This window comes from Homo sapiens, chromosome 15, assembly GCF_000001405.40.
Source record: "Homo sapiens chromosome 15, GRCh38.p14 Primary Assembly".
Classification (NCBI taxonomy): Eukaryota; Metazoa; Chordata; class Mammalia; order Primates; family Hominidae; genus Homo; species Homo sapiens.
Window position 1 is genome coordinate 29,864,402 of NC_000015.10, and position 24,836 is coordinate 29,889,237.

At 40.9% G+C, this 24,836-nt stretch overlaps 1 protein-coding gene across 11 annotated transcripts in view, besides 3 other annotated features; it reads right to left on the bottom strand.

Annotated features, from left to right (window-relative positions):
• Positions 1–24,836, bottom strand: part of TJP1 (tight junction protein 1) — a 269,683-nt gene that overhangs the window by 165,035 nt on the left and 79,812 nt on the right. The window lies entirely within an intron of this gene.
• Positions 8,005–8,506: an enhancer, noted in NCBI's record as "H3K27ac hESC enhancer chr15:30164609-30165110 (GRCh37/hg19 assembly coordinates)". NCBI's record gives its function as "activates a minimal SCP1, AML or CMV promoter by ChIP-STARR-seq in primed H9 embryonic stem cells {active_cell/tissue: H9 hESC(primed)}" and the evidence as "EXISTENCE:reporter gene assay evidence [ECO:0000049][PMID:30033119]".
• Positions 8,507–9,006: an enhancer, noted in NCBI's record as "H3K27ac hESC enhancer chr15:30165111-30165610 (GRCh37/hg19 assembly coordinates)". NCBI's record gives its function as "activates a minimal SCP1, AML or CMV promoter by ChIP-STARR-seq in primed H9 embryonic stem cells {active_cell/tissue: H9 hESC(primed)}" and the evidence as "EXISTENCE:reporter gene assay evidence [ECO:0000049][PMID:30033119]".
• Positions 14,428–14,610: a silencer, noted in NCBI's record as "fragment chr15:30171032-30171214 (GRCh37/hg19 assembly coordinates)". NCBI's record gives its function as "represses an EF-1alpha promoter that drives an FKBP-Casp9 reporter gene in an ReSE screen in HepG2 liver carcinoma cells {active_cell/tissue: HepG2}" and the evidence as "EXISTENCE:reporter gene assay evidence [ECO:0000049][PMID:32094911]".

Here is a 24,836-nt window from a genome sequence, read left to right on the forward strand (position 1 = left end):
TATTCAGAGTGTAAGTTCCTAGAGGGTGGGGACTGTGCATCTCATTTAGCTTAGTAACTCAAGAGCTTAACAAAGTTCCTAACCCATGGCAGGGGCTTATTGAGAATTGTACAGGTTTCCTACCGTCAACACTGTTATCTATTAGCTCTTTTCAGCTTCAGTTACCTGCAAGCATCTGGGCCGGGTTCAACTGCAAAAGGATCTCACCCATATAAGAGGAAAAAGGGCAGTAGAGGAAGGAACCTGGAAGTTGACCTCTGCACATTTCTGGATCTTTTTTGTGGTGCTGGCATGTTGTGGGCCTGGCAGGAACAGGCTTCCAGTTCCTGTCTGTCTTATCACTATCTCCACCTTTCTTATCAGTTAGCTACGTGGGGGGCTTTCTGTCCTACAGATCCTTTATACTTGGCACGCTTTTTTCTTGGCCTTACTCAGTACTGAGGGTGAACATTTGTATGCTACTATTTATTTTAAGTGTTTTGCTTTATAAAGACCTATATTCTGTTGGTAAAACTGTTTTCTAAAATTAAAACATATTTATTGATAATAAAAGGCAAAATTGCAGCTAAATTTTCTTCTTCTGTGGGAGTGACACACTAAGAGTACCCTTCCAATTCTGTGATTTGAAGGTTCAAGAAACCACGAACGTTCCTGTGAGCCAAAAGCTTTATAATTTGCTTGAGTTGAAAATCTACAAGTGAATTTTAACAGGATAAGCAATCCGTAACAGGACCAGGAAACTATTCAAGGACAAGAATAGACTGTTTTTCTTGGTTTTAGCTACACAAATCAACACCAATCCTTCTGATAAGACGAGAATTACTCTTTCAACAGTTACCGACAGTAGCAAATGCCACGAAGATATTAACAAACAGCACCAATTTAAAGCCTAAGAGCATGGGGAATGCAGCTGGTGATTCTTACAAATGTTAATGTAAACTCTGCAGTTTATTCCACTCCACATTGCTAAAAATTTTACCCTGCCAGGCCCACTGCAACCTCAAAATAATACTCTTCCCAACATAAAGGGCTGCTTCTTTTAACTTCTCCAGAGTGATTTTTACAAGGAAGGAAAGTTGCCATATCTCTAAGACCCTAGGGGAGTTTAGAATATGATCAAGTTCCGAAGAAGTGCATTTTTGATTTGTAAAAATTATTTTAACAAATATTGGTCAAATGAGTGAACTGCATTCATGTGCATAAATATGTAGAACATCTGCAAACCTCTCACATGCATCCAGAGGAATACTACTCTCCTGAGGAGGCTTGGAGCAAGGAGGCCTAGCAAAGATGGACATGCACCGAGCAATGTGCGGGATCTGGGCTGGACACCATGATAAATATCAAATGAACCAGAGGGTCCATTAAAAGCTGGCTGGAGAAAAAAGTCACATAAAGCGAGGTGAATGTGGAAAAGTGAGGGGTGAGTTAAGACAAGCTGAAAAGCTAAAGAAATAGAAGTAGAGTGTTTAAGAGAAACATGTACCCAGTTTTATTGAGATCAATTCAAATCGCCAGGCACTGTGCTAGGAGACAGGGAACACAAGCTATTTAAGAGAAGCTTTCTGCCCTTGATTGTAATGAGACAGAAATAAATCTGCAATTAACAATCATAAAGGCATACTTTCATCTTGGGCACTTGGAAGAAAGGAAACATAGAGCTGACATAAACTTTGATGTAAATGCAGCTTTAAGCACTTTTTCTTTTTCTTTCAGTGATATGGCACCTTCTCCTTTTCAAAAATAGCAGCATATTAATTCTCTGTTAAATCTTTTCTTTGAAATTTGCGTTTATGTCTGGCATGATTTTACCCCATGTCACCTGGTCCTGCTCCCCGCATTCTTGTTCCTTCTGGCAACACCCACCCAAATTTCAACACATTTTTCCGTCACAAATTTAGCATTAGCTTAAGTCATTAACTATATTTACAGCTTGTCTTCATCCTTACTGAAACATAAAGGATGGTTGCAATAAACAGTGTGTTTTGTTTATGAAGAAAAATGTCCATTTTAAATCAGTCTGCTTGAATACATCATTTCTGTATTTGAACATGGCTTTGGCAGATGCAGGGAAGGATGAAAACTCCACACTCACTGGAAAACAAATAGGCAGCATTCTTCATTTTATTATGTGAACTCCCCACACAGTATGTCATGTGGAATTTGTGTGGGATTTTATTTACTATATCACAAAAGCTGTCCTTACTGTATATTTATGCAGAAAAAAAACAGGCTGCTTTTATGTAAGTCAAATGTCACATCAGAAAATAATACCCCGGAATGTCTGGAAAGTATTCTGGTGTTTTTGATCCATTAAAAAATATAATTTGTCTTTCACAACAACAAATTAACTGAAGGGGTAAGGTATGTTTAATAAAAAATAACGAGGCCGTCTGGCTGGAGACCGAGCTGTCAGGAACCTGGAGAAGGAGATCTGCAGGCTCTTTCCAGGGGCCGCCCTAACCTGAGACAACCAGGAAGACAGCGGGATGGCCCCCAGCACACAAGGACCCACAAGAGCCACCGTCACCCTGAGCACTCAGAAAGATACTCAGACTGAGCCTGAGCGCGTCTTCACTCAGTTCCAGTTTCATTCACGTGGGTACTCAAAGATGCCTATGCTTCCAGTTGTTTCTGTGTTCTCTGTGTTCTCCTGCAGAATCCATTGAACTGGACTTAAGACATTTATTTCAGACAAATAAGATAAATTATGTAGTATATAAAATGTAAAAGGTGGAAAGAGCAATTTCTGACTGACACAGGAACATTCCTGGACACGAGAAAATTCAACCCATCGATGTTGAGCGAGACTCAGACCAGACATGCTGTTTGTGGCTAATATTAGAAGTCATTTAACTGTCAAAGCAAATGGCACTTTATGAGCAAGAAATCAACTGAAAAAAATGAATTATTTATGGTTTTGATAAGGTCATAACCATCACAAAAGGCAACAAGGGCAAAACAGTAAAACTGTCTGTTCAAGTAAAAGCAGCCCTCCCTGGAAGAAGGTAACTTGCTTCCTGTCTCACTTTCACATTGGGCCTTGCTGGCTCCAACGTGGCCCATGTGTGCTATGTCAGGGGAAGTATTTCTTTCCCTTGCCACTATGTGGGAGCTTTTAATACAGTTCTCAACTCTCTATGAGCTCCTTGGGTGTGTATATTCCCTTAAAAATTATCTCAGTGTGTAAAAAATTTGTTTTAAAAACATTTTAAAGAAGAATTGGCTGGGCATGGTGGCTCATGCCTGTAATCCCAGCACTCTGGGAGGCTTTGGGAGGACATGGCAAGAGGGTAGCTTGAGGTCAGGAGTTTAAGACCAGCCTGGGCAACACAGTGAGACCCTGTCCCTGCAAAACATTTTAAAAATTAAGGCTGGACGCAGTGGTTCATGCCTGTAATTCCAGCATTTTGAGAGGCCAAGGTAGGCAGATTGCTTCAGCCCAGGAGTTCCAGACCAGCCTGGACAACATAGCAAGACCTTATCTCTACAAAAAGTACAAAAATTAGCCGGGTGTGGTGGTGCATGCCAGTAGTCCCAGCTACTTGGGAGGCTGAGGTGGGAGGATGGCTTGAGCTCAGGAGGCAGAGAGGTTGCAGTGAGCTGAGATCACACCACTGCACTCCAGCTTGGGTGATAGATTAAGATTCTGTCTCAAAAAAAAAAAAAAAAAATCAGCTGGGCGTGGTAGTATGCACCTATAATCCCAGCTACTCAGAGGCTGAGGTGGAATGATCGTTTGAGCCTATAAGTTCAAAGTTATAGTCATGTTTTGTGCCATTGCACTCAGCATGGGTGACAGAGTGAGACCCTCTCTCAAAAGGAAAAAATCAGCGGCAATAGCTCCTAATTCCCTCTTTGTAATTTTCCGGGCATTAAAAATAACTGGTCAGTTAGGAGGTGGCTAACTCTGCTCAATGGTTGTGCAAAAGCTTAGGATAAAATACAGAAACAGGAGCTGAGGAGGCTTCTTTCCCTTTTCAGTGTTGTGGCTTCATATAAAATCTACATGTGAGCTCTAATACTGGTCCACGCATGCCTGTGTGGCTCTCAGCGTTCTAGAGGCCAAGGCTAAGCTCACTATAATATAAATGAATAAATGAATCAGGACTGTTGAGTTCTCCTTTCAATCCCCAAGTCAAGCACAGTGTCTACCACATAATGTCAAATAAATATTTATGGAAAGGAAGAAAGGGAAGGAAAAAATAAACCAAGAGAATGAAACAGTTAGATCATGAATGGCGCTGGTATCCACTGGGTTCCCGTATTTCTTAAGAAAATGAACCCTCTAAACAAAATAGCCCAAGTTTTAAGTTTGTTGAAACTTCCCTTAAAGATCAGTTCTGGGGACATAAGAGAAAGATTTTGCTACTGCTAACAAAGTTTGCAAAACTTTGAAAAGAAAGGTTTTGGCACAGGCAAAATCTGAAAAGAGTAATAATGAGCAGAAACTGGCCCTAGCAGACAGATAATAAATCTTCACATTCTGAAGCTTCCATATTAAAAGTGTGGAACTGGAGAAGAAATAATCGACACAGCTCAATGGATCACAACAACAAATTAAAAATATATAAGGGAATTTCATTTTCTATAAAGGTATACAATAAAGGTATATTATATTATTATAAAGGCAGCATTTCAAGAAAAGAGATTGCTTAATAAATGTGTTTCATGCAACTAGGTAACCATCTGAGAAAAATAAAGCCAGATTCCGATCTCACTCCTTATACCAAAATTAATTTCAGATGAATCAAGTTTTCCAAATGTAAAAATGAAGCCATAAGAGAAAGCGAGGGTGAACAGCGAATGTGTGAGTAATCTCAAAGGGGCATGGTCTCTTTCTATGCAGGACACAACAGTCAAACAAACAACAAACAGGAAAAATATTTCAACACAGCTACAAAGGGCTGGCTTCCTTAATTTAGAGAGATACTGTTTATTTCATCCATCACACTGGCAAAACTCTAGGGAGGGCCTGGGAAAACATTTACTGAGATACTATTGAAGGGAGTGTGTGTTAGACGTGACATCTCTGGGAGATTTGGCAGTGTTTATCAAAATTTAGAAAACATGTATCTCAGCAATCCCTGAGCCACAAATAATTTATCCTAAACTCCCACTACCCAAGGTTCTGCACTAAGGTCCAGATTCCAGAAGAAGTAATGCAATCCCAAGTTCATCCTTCCTACTGTGGTCAAGGTTAAACCCCACACCCCACGATGTGACTGCTGAGGCGACTTATCAGTCCCTTGAAGCCAAATCAGACAGGCACCTTACAGACACCGCATCACCCGCTGCCCTGTTCCACCTGCCAAGGGTCTGTGCCTCCTCACTAGACTCCAGCATCTTGAAGGCAGAACGATATCCTTTCCCCTGTCTTTCTTTCTTTCTTTCTTTTTTTTTTTTTTTTTTTTTTTTTTTTTGAGACAGAGTCTCACTCTGTTGCCCAGGCTGGAGTGCAGTGGCGCGATCTCGGCTCACTGCAACCTCCACCTCCCTGGTTCAAGTGATTCTCCTGCCTCAGCCTCCCGAGTAGGTGGGATTATAAGTGCCCACCACCACGTCTGGCTAATTTTTTTGTATTTTTAGTACAGATGGGGTTTCACCATGTTGGCCAGACTCACCATGTTGGCCAGACTGGTCTCGAACTCCTGACCTCAGGCAATCCACCACCCCGCCCCCCACCGCCCAGCCTCCCAAAGTGCTGGGATTACAGGCGTGAGCCACTGTGCCTGTCCCTTTCCTCTTTCTAATATCACATTTATATAGCCCAGAGCAGAGGCTCAAAATAACATTAGATGGATGAACAAATAAATTACTGAATGTGTAAATCAGATAAACTAGCTAGCTAGAAGTACTAGTGGGCAGGTTAAAGACAGGATGGAATCATAGGTAAATGGTTAAGAAAAAAAAGAGAAAGGGATCCAAGAGTTTAGAATAGTTTTCTAATAAATTTAAGGTTAGTCCTGTGTGTAAAAACTATCTTTATATTAAGTATGCAAAATTATCTTATAATACACAGAGGAACCGGAGCAGACAATAATGAATGTCAGGCATTTAGCAAGCTGGGTTAGATTTGATGAAACCGAAAACTCTTAAGCTTGGAAACTAGCTTGTTAAATAACAATGTTCCTGTAAACAGGCAGGCTAGATTTATTGTGCCCCTGGGAAATTCTCTGGAATGAACACAGAAAATGCTTCTGTTGATTAGCCTTTTTAGCTTGCGGGTGAGTGTTGACCTAAAAGGGAAAGGCTTGCCCTCCAGATTTTACATAATGTGCCCTTATCAATTCCTGTCAGGAGAACTGTCCCTGCAGGGATGTTAGGAAGACTAACGATTCTGCCTCAGTAACACAACCTGTGCTCCCAGGAGCCTGCTGCGAAACAGCAGCTTATCTCTTACACCTGCTTATGGACTAGAAAGACCAATTTTAAACAGAGGGCCAATGCAAAGAGAAGAGAAGATAAAGGACATTAATAAAGCTAACAAGTTGATTGATATATTCAAAGAGAGGAAACCGAGGCCGAGCATGTGTGATCACTGGCCCAAGGTCACGAGGGAACTGGCGGCCAGCCCCAGGACACAGAGGGCTTCCCTCCTCCAGCCACCTCCTCAACGCTAGCTGGAGAGCAGGGAGGAGGCATTTCCCAGAGGCAAGCTCTGAATACTCCGCTGTGTTCTCACTGGACAAAGGAAAGGAAAGATACTCCTCTAAAGACGGCACTGAACACTCACTTAGAGACGGTAACAGAAGCCTCTGTCAGCAACTCAAGGCTCATTTAACCAACTTTTGGGATATTACCCACACAGTCCTAAAAACGTATGCAAAGCAGGAAGTGAGATAAAAGAGACCTCAAAAATTCTGAGAGTAACTATAAAATTAGACATATTAATAAACGTGCAAACGTTATAAAATGGGAAAATATATACAGTTGGTTTTTCCGGCTGTGGTAGCTAATCAAAAATGACATCTCCTTCCAGCTCCCCTCACTCCCACCATGCCCTCGTGGGCAAAACCTGCTATGATTTGCCCGTGTAGCCCCCTCTCTGTGAACGTAGGAGAAGCGAAGCCATTGGCTTTCTGAGACTTGCTCATCAGAAGCCTTGCTGCTGCCACCTGCGCCTCTGGGAAAGCTTGCCGTGGGAGAGGCGCAACCGCCTGGAGAGGCCTTCCTATGAGGAAGTGCGTTAGTCACGTAGGAGACGGCCCCAGCTGGCCCGGCCACCCAGCTGAGGCGCCAAGCTGCACGTGAAAAAGCCGTCTTGGGCATACAGCCCCACTGGGCATTCCCGTGAGTCCAGCCCTAACGTCATCGGACTGCAGCCCCAAGAGAGACCCGAGGGAGAACTGCCCACTCACAGAACCAAGAGGGAGAATGATCAACAATCCACAAAGTTTCTTGCAAAGCAACAGATAACTGAACCATTGGCTAGCCAAGCTGTACAAAAGCATTAAAATAGATTTATTGCCATAAGACATGAGAAGTATAAACAAAAAAAAGTTACTAAACAATTACAGAGCGCCTATGCCTCTTCTTTGAATGGAAGGCCTTAGAAATACTTCCATATTTTCTGAGGTATTTTGAAGGAGTACAGGTCTGAACACACAGCACACAGCTGTCAGAAGGAAGGCCAGGCATTTACACAGGGTGGGCTGTGGAAGAAGAAACCTCGTAGGCAGCGGGGGACACAATGGTGACTGCAGGAAGGCCTATGAGGCTGTCAGCTGGAAGACTCCTTGATACCATTTCATTACCAGTCCAAAACACAGTCAGCTCTGCTTGTTTTTTCTCTTACAAACTCTAGTATGCTGTAGGGTTAGAGAGGTACTTATATTGTAAGCATACATGTGCAAATAACTGTGCTAGATTATGTGGCAACCTGATTTTCCCTAGATTTGTCATCTTATATTTCAATCAGACATGATGATGAAGAGCCTTGAACTCAAATTCAAATTTAAAACAAAGATGAAAGCACAGACTAGAACAGAAAATCAAAAACACAATTCAAGGATAGTATAACAAAAACATATTTCAGATACTGAAGAAAGCTGGTCCTTTGCAATAGACCATGTTCCACGGAGGTCTGCCCTCTGACAAGCCGAGGGCCTTAAGGCACATAACCTCTTTGAGACTTGAGATCTTCAGAATTGTTTTGAAACTATTTCTTCATTGGGAAGAAAAAATGGTTCTGTGATCCTCAATGGTGGTGAAGTTCTAGGTAAGAGCTTTAAGCGAAACGATGGAAAAAAGCAAGAACTAGGAGCTGGTACGTTAGAAGCATCTACTGCATTCAAACCCTGCATTAGGCCCCTTCATACAAACCTCCTTTAGTCCTCGTCATGGCCCTGCACCAAGGGCTTGGTGTCCCCTCTTTGGAGAAGCCACCACACAGAAAGGTCCAGTCACCAGCAAGAGGTCGTGCGGCACGTCCACTCTGAGTGAGTCTCACAGGGGATCTCAAATGCCCTCTTTCACTCTGCAAGGTATTACCTGCACTGTGGGCTCAGCATTCCAGAGATACGCATGGGAATAGGGCCAGGTCCCTGCCTCCAAGAGCTGACAGAAGGCTGGAACAAACACACATGTGCACGCACCATTCATTTCCACAGAAAGTCATTTTTGGATTCAAAGCTGCGTTTGAAATGGGTCTTGCAGGATGAATGGGATTTCACAGATGAAAACTGGTAGAAGAAAACTGCATAGGCTCATGGATTCATTCAGCAAGCACACACACAAAGGCCTGCTGTGGGTGAAGGGCAAATTCTGTCCCTGAAGGGCAGAGTGAGTGCTGGGAGCTTCAAGCATTTCTTTTGAGGTCCGTTTAGCAAAAGAATTTCTTATTAAATAGACAACTCACTTTATATTTTGTCACATACACTAAACACTTGTGGGAAATTCTCTCTGCCATTCAGATTTTAAAAAATTGATTCTGGATATTAGCTGTTCCCAAATTCAAAGGCGACATCCCTCACAGCAAAAACCTAACACAGGTCCTGGAAACCGACAAGGCCCTGCTGCAGGAGCTCACACTCCTGCGGTCCCTACTCCCAGGGATCAAGCCTGGCTGCTACAACTCTGTGTGCAAGAGCAAACTGTTTCTTGTGATGAGTCAGTTTCTTTTTTGAATCAAAACAGAAATGTTAAGAAAATATGGAGAGCTATTCTTTTATGATCAAGACAATTTTTGCTATGCTTTATATTCTTTTACAGTTTCCTATTTTAATATTCTCATCTGGTAGATTTCAAGCACTGACCTCTCCCTTTCTTTCAACAAGGGTATAAGAAGACAGACTCCACTTGCTCAGACTAGGCATGGGGCTTTATGGCCTTTGGGATTTCTTAGGGGAGACTTGAGACTTGAGAGCTGGAGAACTGTCAAGCTAATGATGTACCCCTTTTCCTTGCCATTTCAACACGAACAGGTATTTCTCTCCAAATCTAGAAATCCTTCTGTAAATGGAACGGCAGATCATTATTTTGCATTTTGCTGAGAACAAGAAGTACGTGAGATATTGCACAAAGTACAGCATGAGGCATAGCTTTTACCCAACAGGCTCAAAACTCTAAATTAAAAGAAAACAAAGGGACAGAAAGAAAAGCAGTTTTCTTCTCTTCCACCTCCTCCTCCTCTCGCCTGAAATGTACCACCCACGGGGAGTTGCACAGCTTAGGGCTTAGGCAGAGATGATATTCCATGTACTTTTTCAGGTTTCCCATTTAAGGCTGTCACCACCATTAAGCCAAATGACAGTAACGGAGGTGCGGTCACATTAATAACATGAGGGCTGTTCTAGGGCAAGATAGGGCCTGCGTCATGGCTTCCTCTATCCCTGAGAAGGAGGGTGACAGAAGAGAACGCCTGCAGGGTGACAGTAAAGGAGTGTATCAGGGATGGGGTTGCAGAGCACTGTGCAGTCCCCACTGTGGGCTGTCGGAGTCAATCAGGCACTCGGCTCATTGGAACTTCTGTCCCCTCAGCAGTAAGGGCGGAGGGCAAACCTTGCAAACGACACATCTTAGTTGGAGGACATGATTGGGGCTGGCATCATCAACCATATGAGATGAGCCTACAACAGACAGCAGTCAGAGACAATACCCCGGGTTAAAAAAGGAATCTACCCCATTATGAAATAGAAGAAACCTCAGCAAGTTGTTGTCTATGTTCTCTGAGCTGATAAAATGGTATTACCATGAACTAAGGGTAGCTAGTCCCTCAAAATCCATGCTAATGAAATTCTCTAAGTCCAGAAAAATGAGCAAAACCATCATTTTAAAAAAATTTAGAAATTTTTATTTTTATTTGCTTATAAACTTCATTGTGAGCTTTTGGAACAAAAAAGTCTGATTTCCTATTTAATGAAGAATGGCTTTTAAACACCACAACTTAATGCATAGCTGTATCAATATTACGTAAATTGACAAATGTCACACAAAATGTGGTGCCTAATTGATTTTGACATGCACGTACATAAAGTAGGACCATTCAGGTAAATACAGAGCTAATAATTACAAGAAGCAAATAATACCAATGAAAACCATTTTTTAAGGGTATTAGATTTTCATTCTCTTCCTCATCAAAAAGAAGCATGTATTGAACATCTGCCTGTGGCTAGGGTTGTAGTAAGCAGAAAAGTGACTTGCCTAAAGGATGAGAAATCCTATTACATAAAGATTTTTTATTTTAAATGTAGGCCCACTCTCCACACACCCACACCCATCAGTTACCTAGCAGTTCCTTATAAGGAGTGTGAAATCCAAGTCTGGCAACTCACTGGGGACTTCAAGCAAAACCTTCTACTCTGTCCTGTTAGGTGTGCAGCCCTATGATAAGGCACTGTGGCCATCCGCAGAATAGGCAGAAGATAAGCCTCTAATCTGTACTTTTCAACCAATACCTGGGAGGCTTTTTAAGAGTGATACTGACCTTGTTTTCATTGGTTTTATTTCATTTTACTTAAGTACTTGTTGCCATTGAAAATTACAGCCGGCCTTATTGTCTTCAATTCATTTGCATCCCCTTTTCCAACTACTATTCCTAAAGCAAATCATGCATTTGCTTTTGTGCAAGTGTCTGAGGACTAATTTCTCCCTAAAGATGCGGTGTTCAAATCCATAAATTCTCCCCCAAATACATGTTGTGGGTTTTGGTTCTTCATATTTTTTTATTTTTATTTTTTTCTGAGATGGTGTCCTGCTCTGTCACCCAGGTTGGAGTGCAGTAGCATGATCTCGACTCACTGCAACCTCCACCTCCCGGGTTCAAGCAATTCTCCTGCCTCAGCCTCCCAGGTAGCTGGGATTACAGGCGTGCGCCACCATGCCCAGCTAATTTTTGTATTTTATTAGAGACAGGGTTTCACCATGTTGGCCAGGCTGGTCTCGAACCCCTGACCTTGTGATCTGCCCGCCTCGGCCTCCCAAAGTGCTGGGATTACAGACGTGAGCCACTGTGCCTGGCCAGTTCTCCTCAATATTAGGAGGAACATTGTCACCAGGCTCCCTGTGAGGTGGCATTTCCAATGACCAAATATAGTTGTTACTTAAGTCAAAACTCTATACCTGCCTTGTCCAATATGGTAACTGCTAGCCACACGTGACTAATTAAAATTAGATAAAATTTTAAAATCTGCTCTTCAGACACACAAAAGCCACATTTCAAATAACCCATAGTCTCATGTGGCTAGTAGCAATGATACTGAACAGTGCAGAAAGTTCTGTTGAGAAGCATTGCTCTACATTAAGCTTGTCTAACCTGCCCCACATGTGGCCCAGGATGGCTTTGAATGCAGCCCAACACAAATTCGTAAACTTGCTTAAAACATTATGAGATTTTGGCCGGGTGTGGTGGCTCATGCCTGTAATCCCAGCACTTTGGGAGGCTGAGGCGTGTGGATCACCTGAGGTTAGGAGTTCGAAACCAGCTTGACCAACATGGTGAAACTCCGTCTCTACTAAAAATACAAAAAATTAGCCAGGCGTGGTGGTGCATGTCTGTAATCCCAGCTACTCAGGAGGCTGAGACAGGAGAATTGCTTGAACCCAGGAGTTGGAGGTTGCAGTGAGCCAAGCTCGTGCCACTGCACTCCAGCCTGGGCAACAGAGTGAGACTCTGTCTCAAAAAAAAAAAAAATATGAGATTTTTTTTGTGACTTTTTAGCTCATCAGCTATCATTAGTGTTAGTGTATTTTATGTGTGGCTGAAGACAATTCTTCCAATGTGGCCTAGGGAAGTCAAAAGATTGGACATCCCTGCTCTACATGATGCAAGACGGGTCTGCTTGTGATCTTGGTTCATATAGAATAGTTTCTACTAGTATACATTCAACTGAGAATATTCAAATGAGTAAAAACCACGTGGACTGCTGCAGCCCTCCATTCCTCTGCAGAATCCGGGTGCAATGTAACATCAGGCAGTGCTGTGAGCTGAAGCCTAAGGACCTAGCACACTCTTGACCATATCCTGAAACTGTTCCCAACCTTTTCCTGTGACACATTTATACCTCCTAAGTGCATACAACACACATTTATGAGAACACAGTGAAGCAAAAATGCTCAAGAAATGGAAGTGACTTCAGTTAATTTCAACTCAGGGTTGACTCAGTTTCTCCTCACTTTTGTCAAAATTTTCTGTGTAACATGCCAGTCTGCATTGCTTCTCTGATAGGGCAGGATTCTACAGCTAATGTTAACTAAATGAGGATGTTACATTAATTAAAACTCATTGTTCTTATAATTTCATGTAAACCAATTAACAAATGCAAAAGATTTTAGAAAACTGGTTTTAACATTTGACTCCAAGATATAAATAGAAGTATTTCTTTTATTTTTATTGTTTGAGACATGCTCTGCCTTCCAGGCTTGGAGTGCAGTGGCGTGATCACGGCTTACTGCAGCCTCGACCTCCCGAGCTTGAGAGATCCTCCTGCTTCGGGGTCCTGAGTAGCTGCGACTGCAGATGTGCACCACCACACCTGAGTAATTTTTGTATTTTTCATAGACACAGGGTCTCACTTTGTTGCCCAGGCTGGTCTCAGACTCCTGGGCTCAAGCAATCTTCCCCACCGCCTTGGCCTCCCAAAGTGCTGGGATTATAAGCATGAGCCACCACACCTGGCCTAGATTATTTCTTTTCTTCTCTTCTCTTTTCTTTCTTTCTTTTTCTCTTTCTTTCTTTCTTTCCTTCCTTCCTTTCTCCTTCCTTCCTTCCCTCCTCCTCCTCCTTCTTCTTTCTTCTTCTCTTTCTTTCTTTGTCTCTCTCTCTTTCTTTTTTTTTTGAGAGAGTCTCACTCTGTTGCCCAGGCTGGAGTGCAGTGGCACAATCTTGGCTCACTGCAACCTCCGCCTCCCAGGGTCAAGCCATTCTCTTGCCTCAGTCTCCCGAGTAGCTGGGATTACTGGGATTACAGGCGCGTGCCATCACGCCTGGCTAATTTTTTGTATTTTTAGTAGAGATGGGGTTTCACCATGTTGGCCAGGCTGGTCTTGAACTCCTGAACTCGTGATCCGCTTGCCTTGGCCTCCTAAAGTGCTGGGATTACAGGTGTGAGCCACCCCGCCCGGCCGATTATTTCATTGTTTAAAACAAATACTTTGACTTTTTAAAAACTGAAATTTGCCTGTTTTTCCCAAAAGTATAGTTTTTGTTTGTTTGTTTGTTTGTTTTTTGAGACGGAGTCTTGCTCTTGCCCAGGCTGGAGTGCAGTGGTGCGATCTCAGCTCACTGCAAGCTCCGCCTCCCAGGATCACGCCAGTCTCCTGCCTCAGCCTCCCAAGTAGCTGGGACTACAGGCGCCCGCTACCATGCTTGGCTATTTTTTTTGTATTTTTAGTAGAGACGGGGTTTCACCCTGTTAGCCAGGATGGTCTCGATCTCCTGACTCCGTGATCCGCCCGCCTCGGCCTCCCAAAGGGCTGGGATTACAGGCATGAGCCACCGCGCCTGGCCAAGAATAGTTTTCAAGAAGCGGGTTAACTGTGACTAATCAAGTACAACCTAAACTGACTTGATCTCCTTGAGTAGCCTCTGGACTTTCCCCAGAGCTGTTATGAATTCTTGGGAAGCAGCTGATATATTCTCAAATAAATACCTCATTTTTATGTCAGATCATTCTGATATAATCTTATTTTAGAAACACAGCCCATAGTTCAGTATATGACAACAATCTGTTCTTAGAATAGAAATCTGCAAAATTAAAAAAAAAAGGAGCCTCCGGAAGCCCAGAAGCATCTTTGAAAGGTGTCTCTACAATTTTAGTTTCATAGCTCTGTATAACATCCAACCATGCATGTAAACAGCTGAAAGGAAAAGCAACTTCCCTTTTATATGTATCTGTTAGCCATTCTTCCTGGACTGTCAGGGAAGCCGATGTGGGAGGAGGGGCTGGCCTGGGATGAGTATGGGAGAAAAAGTGACTTGCATATTAATTAACGCCCATGCTGGCCGGGCGCGGTGGCTCATGCCTGTAATCCCAGCACTTAGGGAGGCTGAGGCGGGTGGATCACGAGGTCAAGAGATCGAGACTGTGCTGGCCAACATGGTGAAACCCCGTCTCTACTAAAAATACAAAGATTAGCCGGGCGTTGTGGCACGCGCCTGTAGTCCCCAGCTACTCGGGAGGCTGAGGCAGGAGAATCGCTTGAACCTGGGAGGCAGAGCTTGCAGTGAGCCAAGATTGTGCCACCGCACTCCAGCCTGGGAGACAGAGTGAGACTCCGTCTCAAAAAAATAATAATAAAAAAATAAAAAAAATTAACTCCCATGCCTCCTCTGGCTTCCTTTCCTCCATCCCCTGACATTCATGTGCAAGTGGCTAAAATAGGCTAAAGAGAGGATCAAGTACAGTTTCCGTGGGGAAGAACATCTAGGTAGGAAAGGTAACGCCATGCGGTCTTGAGGCTGGGAACAGACGGACGGCAAGGCTCAGGCTCCTGTGCTTGCTCCCCTGAGCTGGTTTTCACCACCAGTGGACAGACGCCTCCCTATCCCTCCAGCTGCCTCCGGCGCTTGCTGCCCAGAAGCCTCCCTGGAGCCAAGACCTGAGAGCCCAATTCTCCAGTGGCCTTTTTAATTTTAAATTTTGAATATTTCTTAGGTTTATATTTCTAAGGCTGCATTAATGATTATTAGTCGGGTGAACTTTTACAGTGGTTTTAAAGCTAAGTCTGGGTATTCTAGGAACCATCTACCCTAGCGACAGCAATCCTGTGGTCACCACCATCAGTCACACTCCTCTGGCCACCTGGTACCATAGTGATGGAATTGTGACATCAGGTGTGTGCACTTTCGCATATAGCTTAGACTCTCTTTTTTTTCTTTTTTCTTTTTGAGACAGGGTCTCACTCTGTCACCCAAGCTGGAGGGCAGTGGTGTGATCTCACCTCACTGTAACCTCCACCTCCCAGGCTCAGGTGATCCTCTCACCTTAGCTTCCCAAGTAGCTGGGATACAGGTGTGTGCCACCAAGCCCAGCTAATTTTTTGTATTTTTGGTGGAGATGAGGTTTCACCACGTCAGCCAGACTGGGGACCAATTTATAACATTAGATAAATGTATTGGAAGGGCAATGGAGAATATTTCAACTGTGTTAGCTATTCTAAAATATGTTGAGTATCACCTCAAAAAAATTATCATTAGAATACAATTAATTTTAAAATTATGAGAGCTTTTACTATATAATATTTACTGCTTTCCTCTCCACTACATCTTCAATAATTTCTCTCTTGGTGCAATTTTTTTCAACAATTTATTCAATCATTTCTCTGTGTATGTACATTCGAGGGTTTTCATTTTTGGTGTCTAAAACTGAAGCTGTAATAACAATAAACATCCTTGTCCTTGTTCTGGTGTGTCCTTTGTTTAGTTTATTAAAATTTAAACAGATTAACTGAGGTAAAATTGATATACAAAGAACTGCACGTATTTAGTGTGTGTAATTTGATGAATTTGGACATACGCAAACATCTATGATACTATCCCCACAATCAAGGATAGATATATCTAGCACCTCACAAAGTTTCCTCATGTCCTTTTTGTTTTGCTTTGTTTTTTGTGGTAAAATCTACCCTCTTAACGGATTTTCAAGTACACAATACCATAGTGTTAACTACAGACACTACATTGTTCAGCAGTTCTCTAGAACTTACTCATCTTGCATATCTGAAACTTTCATACCCACTGAACAGCAATTCCCCATGTTCCCTACCCTGCAGCCCCTGGCAACCACTATTGTATTCTCTGTTCTACGAGATTGACTATATTTATAGATATCTCAAATAAATGGAGTTATGCAATATTTGTCCTGTGACTGGCTTATTTCACTTAGAATAATGTCCTCCAGGTTCATCTGTGTTGTCACAAATGGCAGGATTTCCTTCTCTTTTTAAGCCGAACAATATTCCATTGTACGTATATATCACATTTTCTTTATCCATTCCTCTGTTGATGGACAGGTGGGTTGTTTCTATATCTTGGCTATTATGAATAATGCCGCAACAAACATGGGAGTGCAAATATCTCTTCAAGATCCTGTTTTCGCTTCTTTTGGATATATACCTATAAATGAGATTGCTAGATCGTGTAATTCTATTTTTCATTTTTTGAACAGCTCCAGCTGTTTTCCATAACTGTGGCATTTTACACTCCCACCAACAGTGCACAATGCAAGGGCTCCCTTTTCTCCTCCACATGATCTCCAACACTTGTCTTTTGTGGTTTTTTTCATAACAGCTATCCTAACAGATGTGAGCTGATATTTCATTGTAGTTTAGATTTGCATTTCCCTGATGATTAGTAATATTAAACACCTTTTCACATACCTCTTGGCCATTTTTGTATGTCTCCTTTGGAGAAATGTCTGTTCAAGTCCTTTGCCCGTTTTTAAATTGGGTTATTTGTATTTTTCCTATTGAGTTGTAGGAATTCGTTATATATTTTGGAAATTAACCGCTTATCAGATACACGGTTCACAAATATATTCTCCCCACTCTGTAGGCTGCCTTTTCACACTGCTCATTGTTTCCTTTGTTGATGTGTCCCTTTTGGAGACAGGCAGTCCATTGTGGTAGTAAGGAGGTGAAGTTTAGAGCCCTATTACCTGAGTTTAAATTCTGCCAGTGTCACTGTTTTACCTTGATAGATACTTTATTCTTTCGCCTGGTTTCCTCATTTGCTAATCTAGGATAATATTAACTGAATGTGACAGGTTCACAGCCACTAAAATTTTATCCAATTAATGTTCATCATCTGTTACTTATCAGCAGATTCCAATTTGAACCACACATTGGATATATATTTTTCACCTCTATTCTGGAAGCTTTGTGGATACTTACCAGTAATTCCATATACTCACCGACAAGGAGCTTTAAAAAGTGCTTCTGGACAATAAAACTACGACAATGTTTTTGAGAGTGGTCTATTCCCTAACACTACCTATATACACCAGTCCTAAAATATTTTCTGTGCTACAGAAAGTAAAGTGTTCAAGGATGTTTATTTGCAAAGAGTCTGACAGATATAGCTAAGCTTATAAAGATATATATATAGATATATATAGATATATATATTTTTAGTTATTGAGTTCATCATTGTTAGGGTGGTTTCAAAATTTGAAGTTTTTCTTATTTCTGTGGTATTTTATAACATTAAACCTAGGGATGGCATCAAACACAATTTCAAATGAATGTGTTGCTGTGCTGGATACTGAGAAGTCAGACTACAAACCTCTGTCCTCACATCAACCCCAGCCAACCTTAAATTCCCCAAGTGCACCAACTAAAAAGACCAAGTGAGCCCTTCATCAGCACACTTACCCCACTAGCAAGGACCTGACAGAGTTTTCACCATATGTTTTGTGTTTGTGCGTTTGTGTTTTGGTTTTGGTGAAGGGGAGAGGACATGTCAGTAGGCTCAAAGCTATAACTACAGAGCCGACTTTAAATATGAAATGGCTTTCATACCTTCATCTCATTGCCAGTATCAACAACCAAGGACTTCCTGGCAACACTTGGAGATTTTAGAGACATCAGTAACCTTTCTAAAAATGATTTTGTGACTTTCATTCTAAATGGCTAGGCAAACAAATCATTCAATAGACTGCAGAAAATGGGCCACAAAATGACCAGGAGGCACATGATATCATACACAATAAGAGAGTATGGGGACAAAATTCAGTTTGTTATGAGATTTAAGTGCAAAATTCCTAACTGACTTAGGTGCCTGGATTAAATGTGTTGGGCAAATGAAGAGCAACTGCATCTCCATGTGTCGGACCGAAAGGTCCTTGTATAATGACCCTCCCCAAACGAAGAGCCACTGGTCCAATTCAGTTTGAGGTTCCCTACAGGTTATCAATAAAGGTTTTTTAAAAACCTGCTGGATCAATCTGGTGGAGGGTGATTTACAGAGTAACTAGAAAAAGATTTGGCCCAAGATTTGGCCACCTGGCTGCTTCCCACTTTGGCCACAGCGATGGCTTCCCTGCTCTGGAATGCCTTCCAGACATTTCCCTTCGTCTTCTTGCTGCCCCTTTTGATTCTGCCACTCTTAGGACTTCTACATGAAAGGAATACAAAAACTCCTACAATACTTAAATTCTTTTAAAAAGGTTGTTTGAAAGAGCTAACCTAATTAACAGGGAAAAAAATGCCTTTACTTGCACTTCAGGACAATTGTTTCTGCTACAGAAGAACCTTTAATAATCTTCCCAGGCTAAACTGTGGAGACCTTTGATTTTATACAACCCAAAGCCCACTGGAAATCTGTCTGCTTCCTCCAACTATTGTCAAAGAAGGTTAATTTGGAATTTAACAAAGTAAAAGATTTCTTCCAAACTCTCAGCTTGCCTTGGGACTTAAGTGACGCTGGGTCCGTTTCCTGCAGCCCTGGGACACTTGCAAGTGAGGCTCTCAGGGAGCCTTGTTGACTGCGTTGGGTGAAATGCACAGGGAATGCAGGGAATGTGGCATGGTGTTCTGTGTTCCTTCTCACTCTGCATTGTTTATGCTTGCTCAAATAACTTATATTTGCTCCTCAGTTGGAGGTTAAATTTCTTCTGTATCATGACTGAGGCATAAAATTATAAAATAAGTAAGTATAATCTCCTACATTCCTCACAGCAACCATTTCCCTACCTCCTTCCACACACAAACAACTTTTCAGCAGTGAAGTGGTACGTGTCCTTTTTTTTTTCCTTTTAATCTCAGGATGATTTAGTCTATTAAGGCCATTTAATGGAATGACCAGATGACAAAGAAGAAAAAGGATTGTTTTGAGTAAGAGTTTCCTTTTTCATTTCTGGCTTTAATTGTGAGGTTATGGCTTTCAGAAAAGAAAAGAAAAGAAAATGCCTGTAGTGATAAAAGAGCTGTATTTCAACAAATGATTATATTTTTATAAATCTTGTAGAATTTGTGGATGTATTTTATTAATAAAATATTTACACCTCAAGTTTATAAAGGAATAGACAAAATTTACACAGGGTTTGACAGTCTTATGTATTTGGTGGTGAAATTATCACAATTTATATCCACTCGTACAATGCTATTAATAAACAAAATGCTTGTGACAAGTATGGGAATTCTTAGAAGGTAAAAATTCCCAGGAAAACGATTTTAGGCTGAAAGCTAAACTAGGGTATCCCTACTAAAACAAGGATACCCTAATGATTATTCTCTCCTTTAACAAAATTTGAAAGCACACCTTTTCCTCCTATATTATGCAGCATGTGGTCATAATTTGTACTTGTTGCTGTGTTGAACTCACAATAGAAAAAATAAATGAAACATCTTTTGAGTAAACTAAACAGATGTCTCATGTTATCCTTTTAAAATACAGCTGGAGAAACCTTAGAGATCATCTTGTTCAACGGTTCTCAACAGATGCTCCCTGGACCATCTGTATCAGGACCATCTTGGGGGTATATTGAATGTGCAGGCTGTCAGCCCCACACCAGGCCCAGTGAATCTTAGAGGGTAGAGCCCAGACATCTACAGTGTTACCAAGCACCTTATTTCATTCTTCCATACACTAAATTTTGAGAATCTCTGTTGTCCTATCTTTTCCATTTTCAACAAAGAAACTCTTACCCAGGTTGTCCAAGATAGAGTAGCAGAGGTAGGCAGAACTTCATCCAATAGTAAAAATACCACACTGCTCTTCTGTAATATAACATTTACTAAAAACTAAACTATAGAAAAGCAGAATTAATATTTCTATTAAAGTTCTGCAACGTACAGCAATATTTTAGGCCTTTCTTATCCATTCTTTTATTCCACAAACCTTCATTGAATGCCTGCACTACCTAAGGCATCGATGCTGTAGCAGTTTAAGTTTACAACTGAGCGGAGATGAGACATTACACAAAGAGGTACAGTTCAAGGAAGGCTGCCACAAACACCACAGGAGCAGGTTAACTAAAGGGATCAAAAAGTTCTAAGCAGCTAGCCCTCACCTCTGGTTCAGATGACCCAGATGACTTCACAGAGGAGGGGCTGTTCTGGCCATGGCTGAGCTAGCAACAGATATGGATGGACAAGGGATAAACTCACCTTACTATTCTCGTTCCCTAGCAAGTGTAAACATTAAAGGCTTCTGTCATCCTGGGGCTGCAGCCTTCAAAGGAAGTTCTTTATACAAACTAAAAATTAGAGGTGAAAGAAAACAGGATCCTCATTTTAGGTATGGAATCTCTAACCCTGCTTTTCCCTGACTCCCAGCCTCAAATACTCCTCCTTTTCGGGTTCTGTTGTAGATCTCGATCCTGTCCTCCTCCCGCAACTTATGATAGGGAATCCTAACACTCACCATTGATAATACATTATCCTTTTAGGAGGATATCCTTTGAGGGGACTGGCAATCTCCCTGGGGTCAGAAAATGAGTACGTGTCAGCTACCAGGGTCATGCAGCCACCCTGAGCCCAAGCCAGTGTTCCTACCACTGCAGAGTTCCCTGGCAAGGGAACACATGGAGATAGTATCTGGGAGAGGAAAGGGAATCCAGAGCAGACTTCTGAAGGCTGTGGGGAGGGACTGCAGGCTGCGAGGCTTTGCTCCTCGCTCCTTTTCCTCTTCCTACTCCTTTAGCAGTAAGAGCTCCCCAACCATGCTTGGGCTATGGCCATGCCATGTGGCAGTACAGTTAGCAGACAACTGCCCTGCTAAGCTTTAAAAAACAAAGACACTAAAACCTGATAAACAACCAGCTTTTCTTTGCTTCCTTGGATCAGTAAATTTTAAAAAGAAGCAGGGGAAAGAAAACAGAGAACTGACCTAGAATTGCCAACCTTTTATTTGGGCATCTAAGAACATCTGAAAAATAAGCAAAATAGAAAAGCCTCTATTTCAGTAAAGAGCAATCCTTTAAGTAGAGTAAATTCAGACTATAAAAACAAACATATGATGTTTTATCTGTTTTGTAAAAATCATTTTTCCTTGGACTAGTAAAAACTGCATCATGTCGCCCCATCTGTAGTACTTAGAAACAGCTGCAGGCTGTTTAAGTTTCTGTAAGTTTCTATAAGCATAGCTCAGAGACTCAAAAGAGAAGGGGGAAGAAGGCTTGGGACAGGAAAGGAAAGAGCAAAAGCATTAGGGTTTTTCAAGACGTACCAACAAGCATAAAGTTCCACTCGACAATTTCAGATTTTAAAACCCCTCATCATCTATAATCCAGGCTATGCCTGTTCTTTGAGCCAACAGAACCAAACTGGATGAGATGCCAATTTAAAAATACTGTGTGCTCTAAATAAACTTAAACATCAGCAGTGTAGAAAAACCACATTATATCAAAACATATTGTTTAAGGTACTAAGAAATGTCTCTGCAAAACTTAATATGAGCTTTAAAAGCATATCATGCCACCATCACCATCAGTCATTAAATTTTTATTTTTTCATTTAAGCTTTTATTATTTAAAAAATTTTCAGATTCAGGCCAATGTTAAAAGATATGAGGCAGAAAACAAAACCTAAATATTAAAAAGGAAGATAATAAAATATGTATTTTTGGATGGTGTGTTTATAGGAATCAAATGGTAAACAATTACATTTAATTTACAGCTGAGGGTCCCTGTAGTCACAGTTACTTGGGAGGCTGAGGCAGGAGGATTCTTTCAGCCCAGGATTTTGAGGCTGCAGTGAGCTATGACTGTGCCTGTGACTGGCTGCTGCACTCCAGCCTGAGCCATAGAGAGAGGCCATGTCTTAAAAAAAAAAGTAGGTCAATACTAGATATACAAAACCAAATTACCAGATACTACCAGTTTGAAAGTATAGTAAAAAAAGATCAAAACACAAACTATAAAATAAGTAATAACATAACAATAACCATAATGAGAAATATGTAGGACCTATTTAGAGAAAATTGGAAAATTTTGTGAGAAATATAAAAAGTAAGATTTGGATAAATGCTTAGTACATGTCATGGGCTCGGTGGTAAAGACTAAAACCTGTTAGATAAACAGTTTTTCCCCAAATAATCTGTAAGTTCAACATAAATTTTCCAAAGTTCATCTGAAAAAACAAACAGGAAAGAACAACAAAGAAAATTTTGCAGAAGAGTCCTGCAGGGGGACTGGCCCTATCAGATGCCACAACATGTAAGCCGTGTGGCACAGACAGAAGGACAGGCAAGCAGAACAATGGAACAGAGAAGATAACCCAGAAGAAACACCCATCCATATTCAGAAGATGCCACAAATCCATCAAATAAAATTGAGAAAAGATGGCACCCACTAGGTAACAATTCAGACCAAAAACAAGAGCCCCTCACCTGATTCTATATGGTGAAATATATTCCACATGAATTTAGAGTTTAGCAACAAAAATTTTGTTAAGGTAGAAAAATATATTGTATATATATAATATAAATATATACATATATAATATAAATATATACATATATATGTATATATATTTTTTGAGACGGAGTTTTGCTTTTGTTGCCCAAGCTGGAGTGCAATGCGCAATCTCGGCTCACTGCAACCTCCTCTCCCAGGTTCAAGTGATTCTCCTGCCTCAGCCTCCCGAATAGCTGGGATTACAGGCACGTGCCACCAAGCTTGACTAATTTTTTGTATTTTAAATAGAAATGAGGTTTCACCACGTTAGCCAGGCTGGTCTTGAACTCCTGACCTCAGATGATCCGCCCACCTCGGCCTCCCAAAGTGCTGGGATTACAGGCATGAGCCACCGCACCTGGCCTATATCAGATATTTTAAATCACTTCTAGGAAAAAAAATGACTTTCTAAGCTAAAAAATAATAGAAGAATCTAAAAAGAACAGAGTAACATATTTTATCATCTACAAATCTTAAACTTCTATTTTTATTTTTTAAATACACTTAAATGCAAACACCAAATTGGAAAAAGTATTTGTAGCAAAGGTCATCATCAAAAGACTAATCGCTTTCCAATAAACAGTGCTATAACATTTGTATAAGATTTTTGGTAGCCCAGTAAGCTAAGACAAGCTTTGGGGAAGGCAATTTGGCAATACATGTAACTGGAGCCTTAAATATATTTGTATCTGTGACCCAGTAATTCCACTTCTGGGAATCTAGCCTAAGGAAACAATCCACATATAATAAATATTCTCTGTGTACAAAGATGCTCTTCACAGGGAAAAAAACTGAAACGATCTAAAAGTATATTAAAGAACAGTTAAGTAAATGATTTAAAAATTTTAAATGGTACTTAGAGTGTATAATAGTATTTCAAAGTGTTTATAATAAAATGTTAAAGAAAAAATCAAGATACTAAATTGCATATTCAATAAAAATACAATTTTATTTTTTAAATATAGATTTATATATGAAAGTATTAAAATATTTATTTAAACACTATTATATCCATTTTATATGTGTATGTACATATATATGTGCATATGTCATATGTTTACACATATGTAGAAATATATTAGGTATAACAGAAATATATGCAATAGGAATATACACACACACATATATACACGCACACACAAATCACCTGCTTAATGCCTTTAATCTATTCAAAAAAGAAGGCATTGAGGCTAAGACATCAATGTATTATTACCATTTGTTTCAAAGTGTAATATAATTAATTCTCAGATCATCCTAAAGTTCCAATTTTTTCCAACCAAAATAAAGTCATAAAAGAAACACTTGGTTAATGAATTAAACGTATATTAAAGAGTCCTTCTCATATTTAAAGCTATGAGGCATTTAAATACAAATAAAATCATTTAGTTTCCTAAAATGGTGAGCAACACAAAAACATTCTGGATAAAAGTTCTTTATTGTTTCTACTTCCAGCAGCGTACATCCTGAACCTACATTCTCTCCCTAGATAAGGAGTGGCTCTGGCTCAGTGTCCCCAGAGTTCCAGCAGCTCTCATGCATTTTCACCCCTGCTATTAGAATGACCCCAGTGTGTAGCCGCACACACTGACTGCAGCACAGAGGAATGCGGGATGGCATCAGCAGTGCTAAAGAGTGGGGCTAAAAGCCCAGCGAGAATCACAGGAGAATGCAGAACTGTGTTCTGAGGCAGCAGGGATGGACTGGATCTAATCTAGTGCTATAAGTGCAAAATGCCCAGGAAATGTGCTCTGTGGATAGCCAAGGACTCCTGCTCCCCAAGACAGAGACGCAAATCTGCTCCCTTAGTTGGGTAAACAACTCTGGGAAGATAAATAAGTGAGCAGGCCTCCAAGTAAATCAACCCACAGCATGTGTGCATAACGTTTTAGTGTTAAATACAAAATAATCTTTGACTGATTGTCATTTCAAGTGTTTATAATATTCCAGGGGTCCTGTCATAATGTTCTTATCATCTGTAAGCTGAAAGACATATCAGAAATT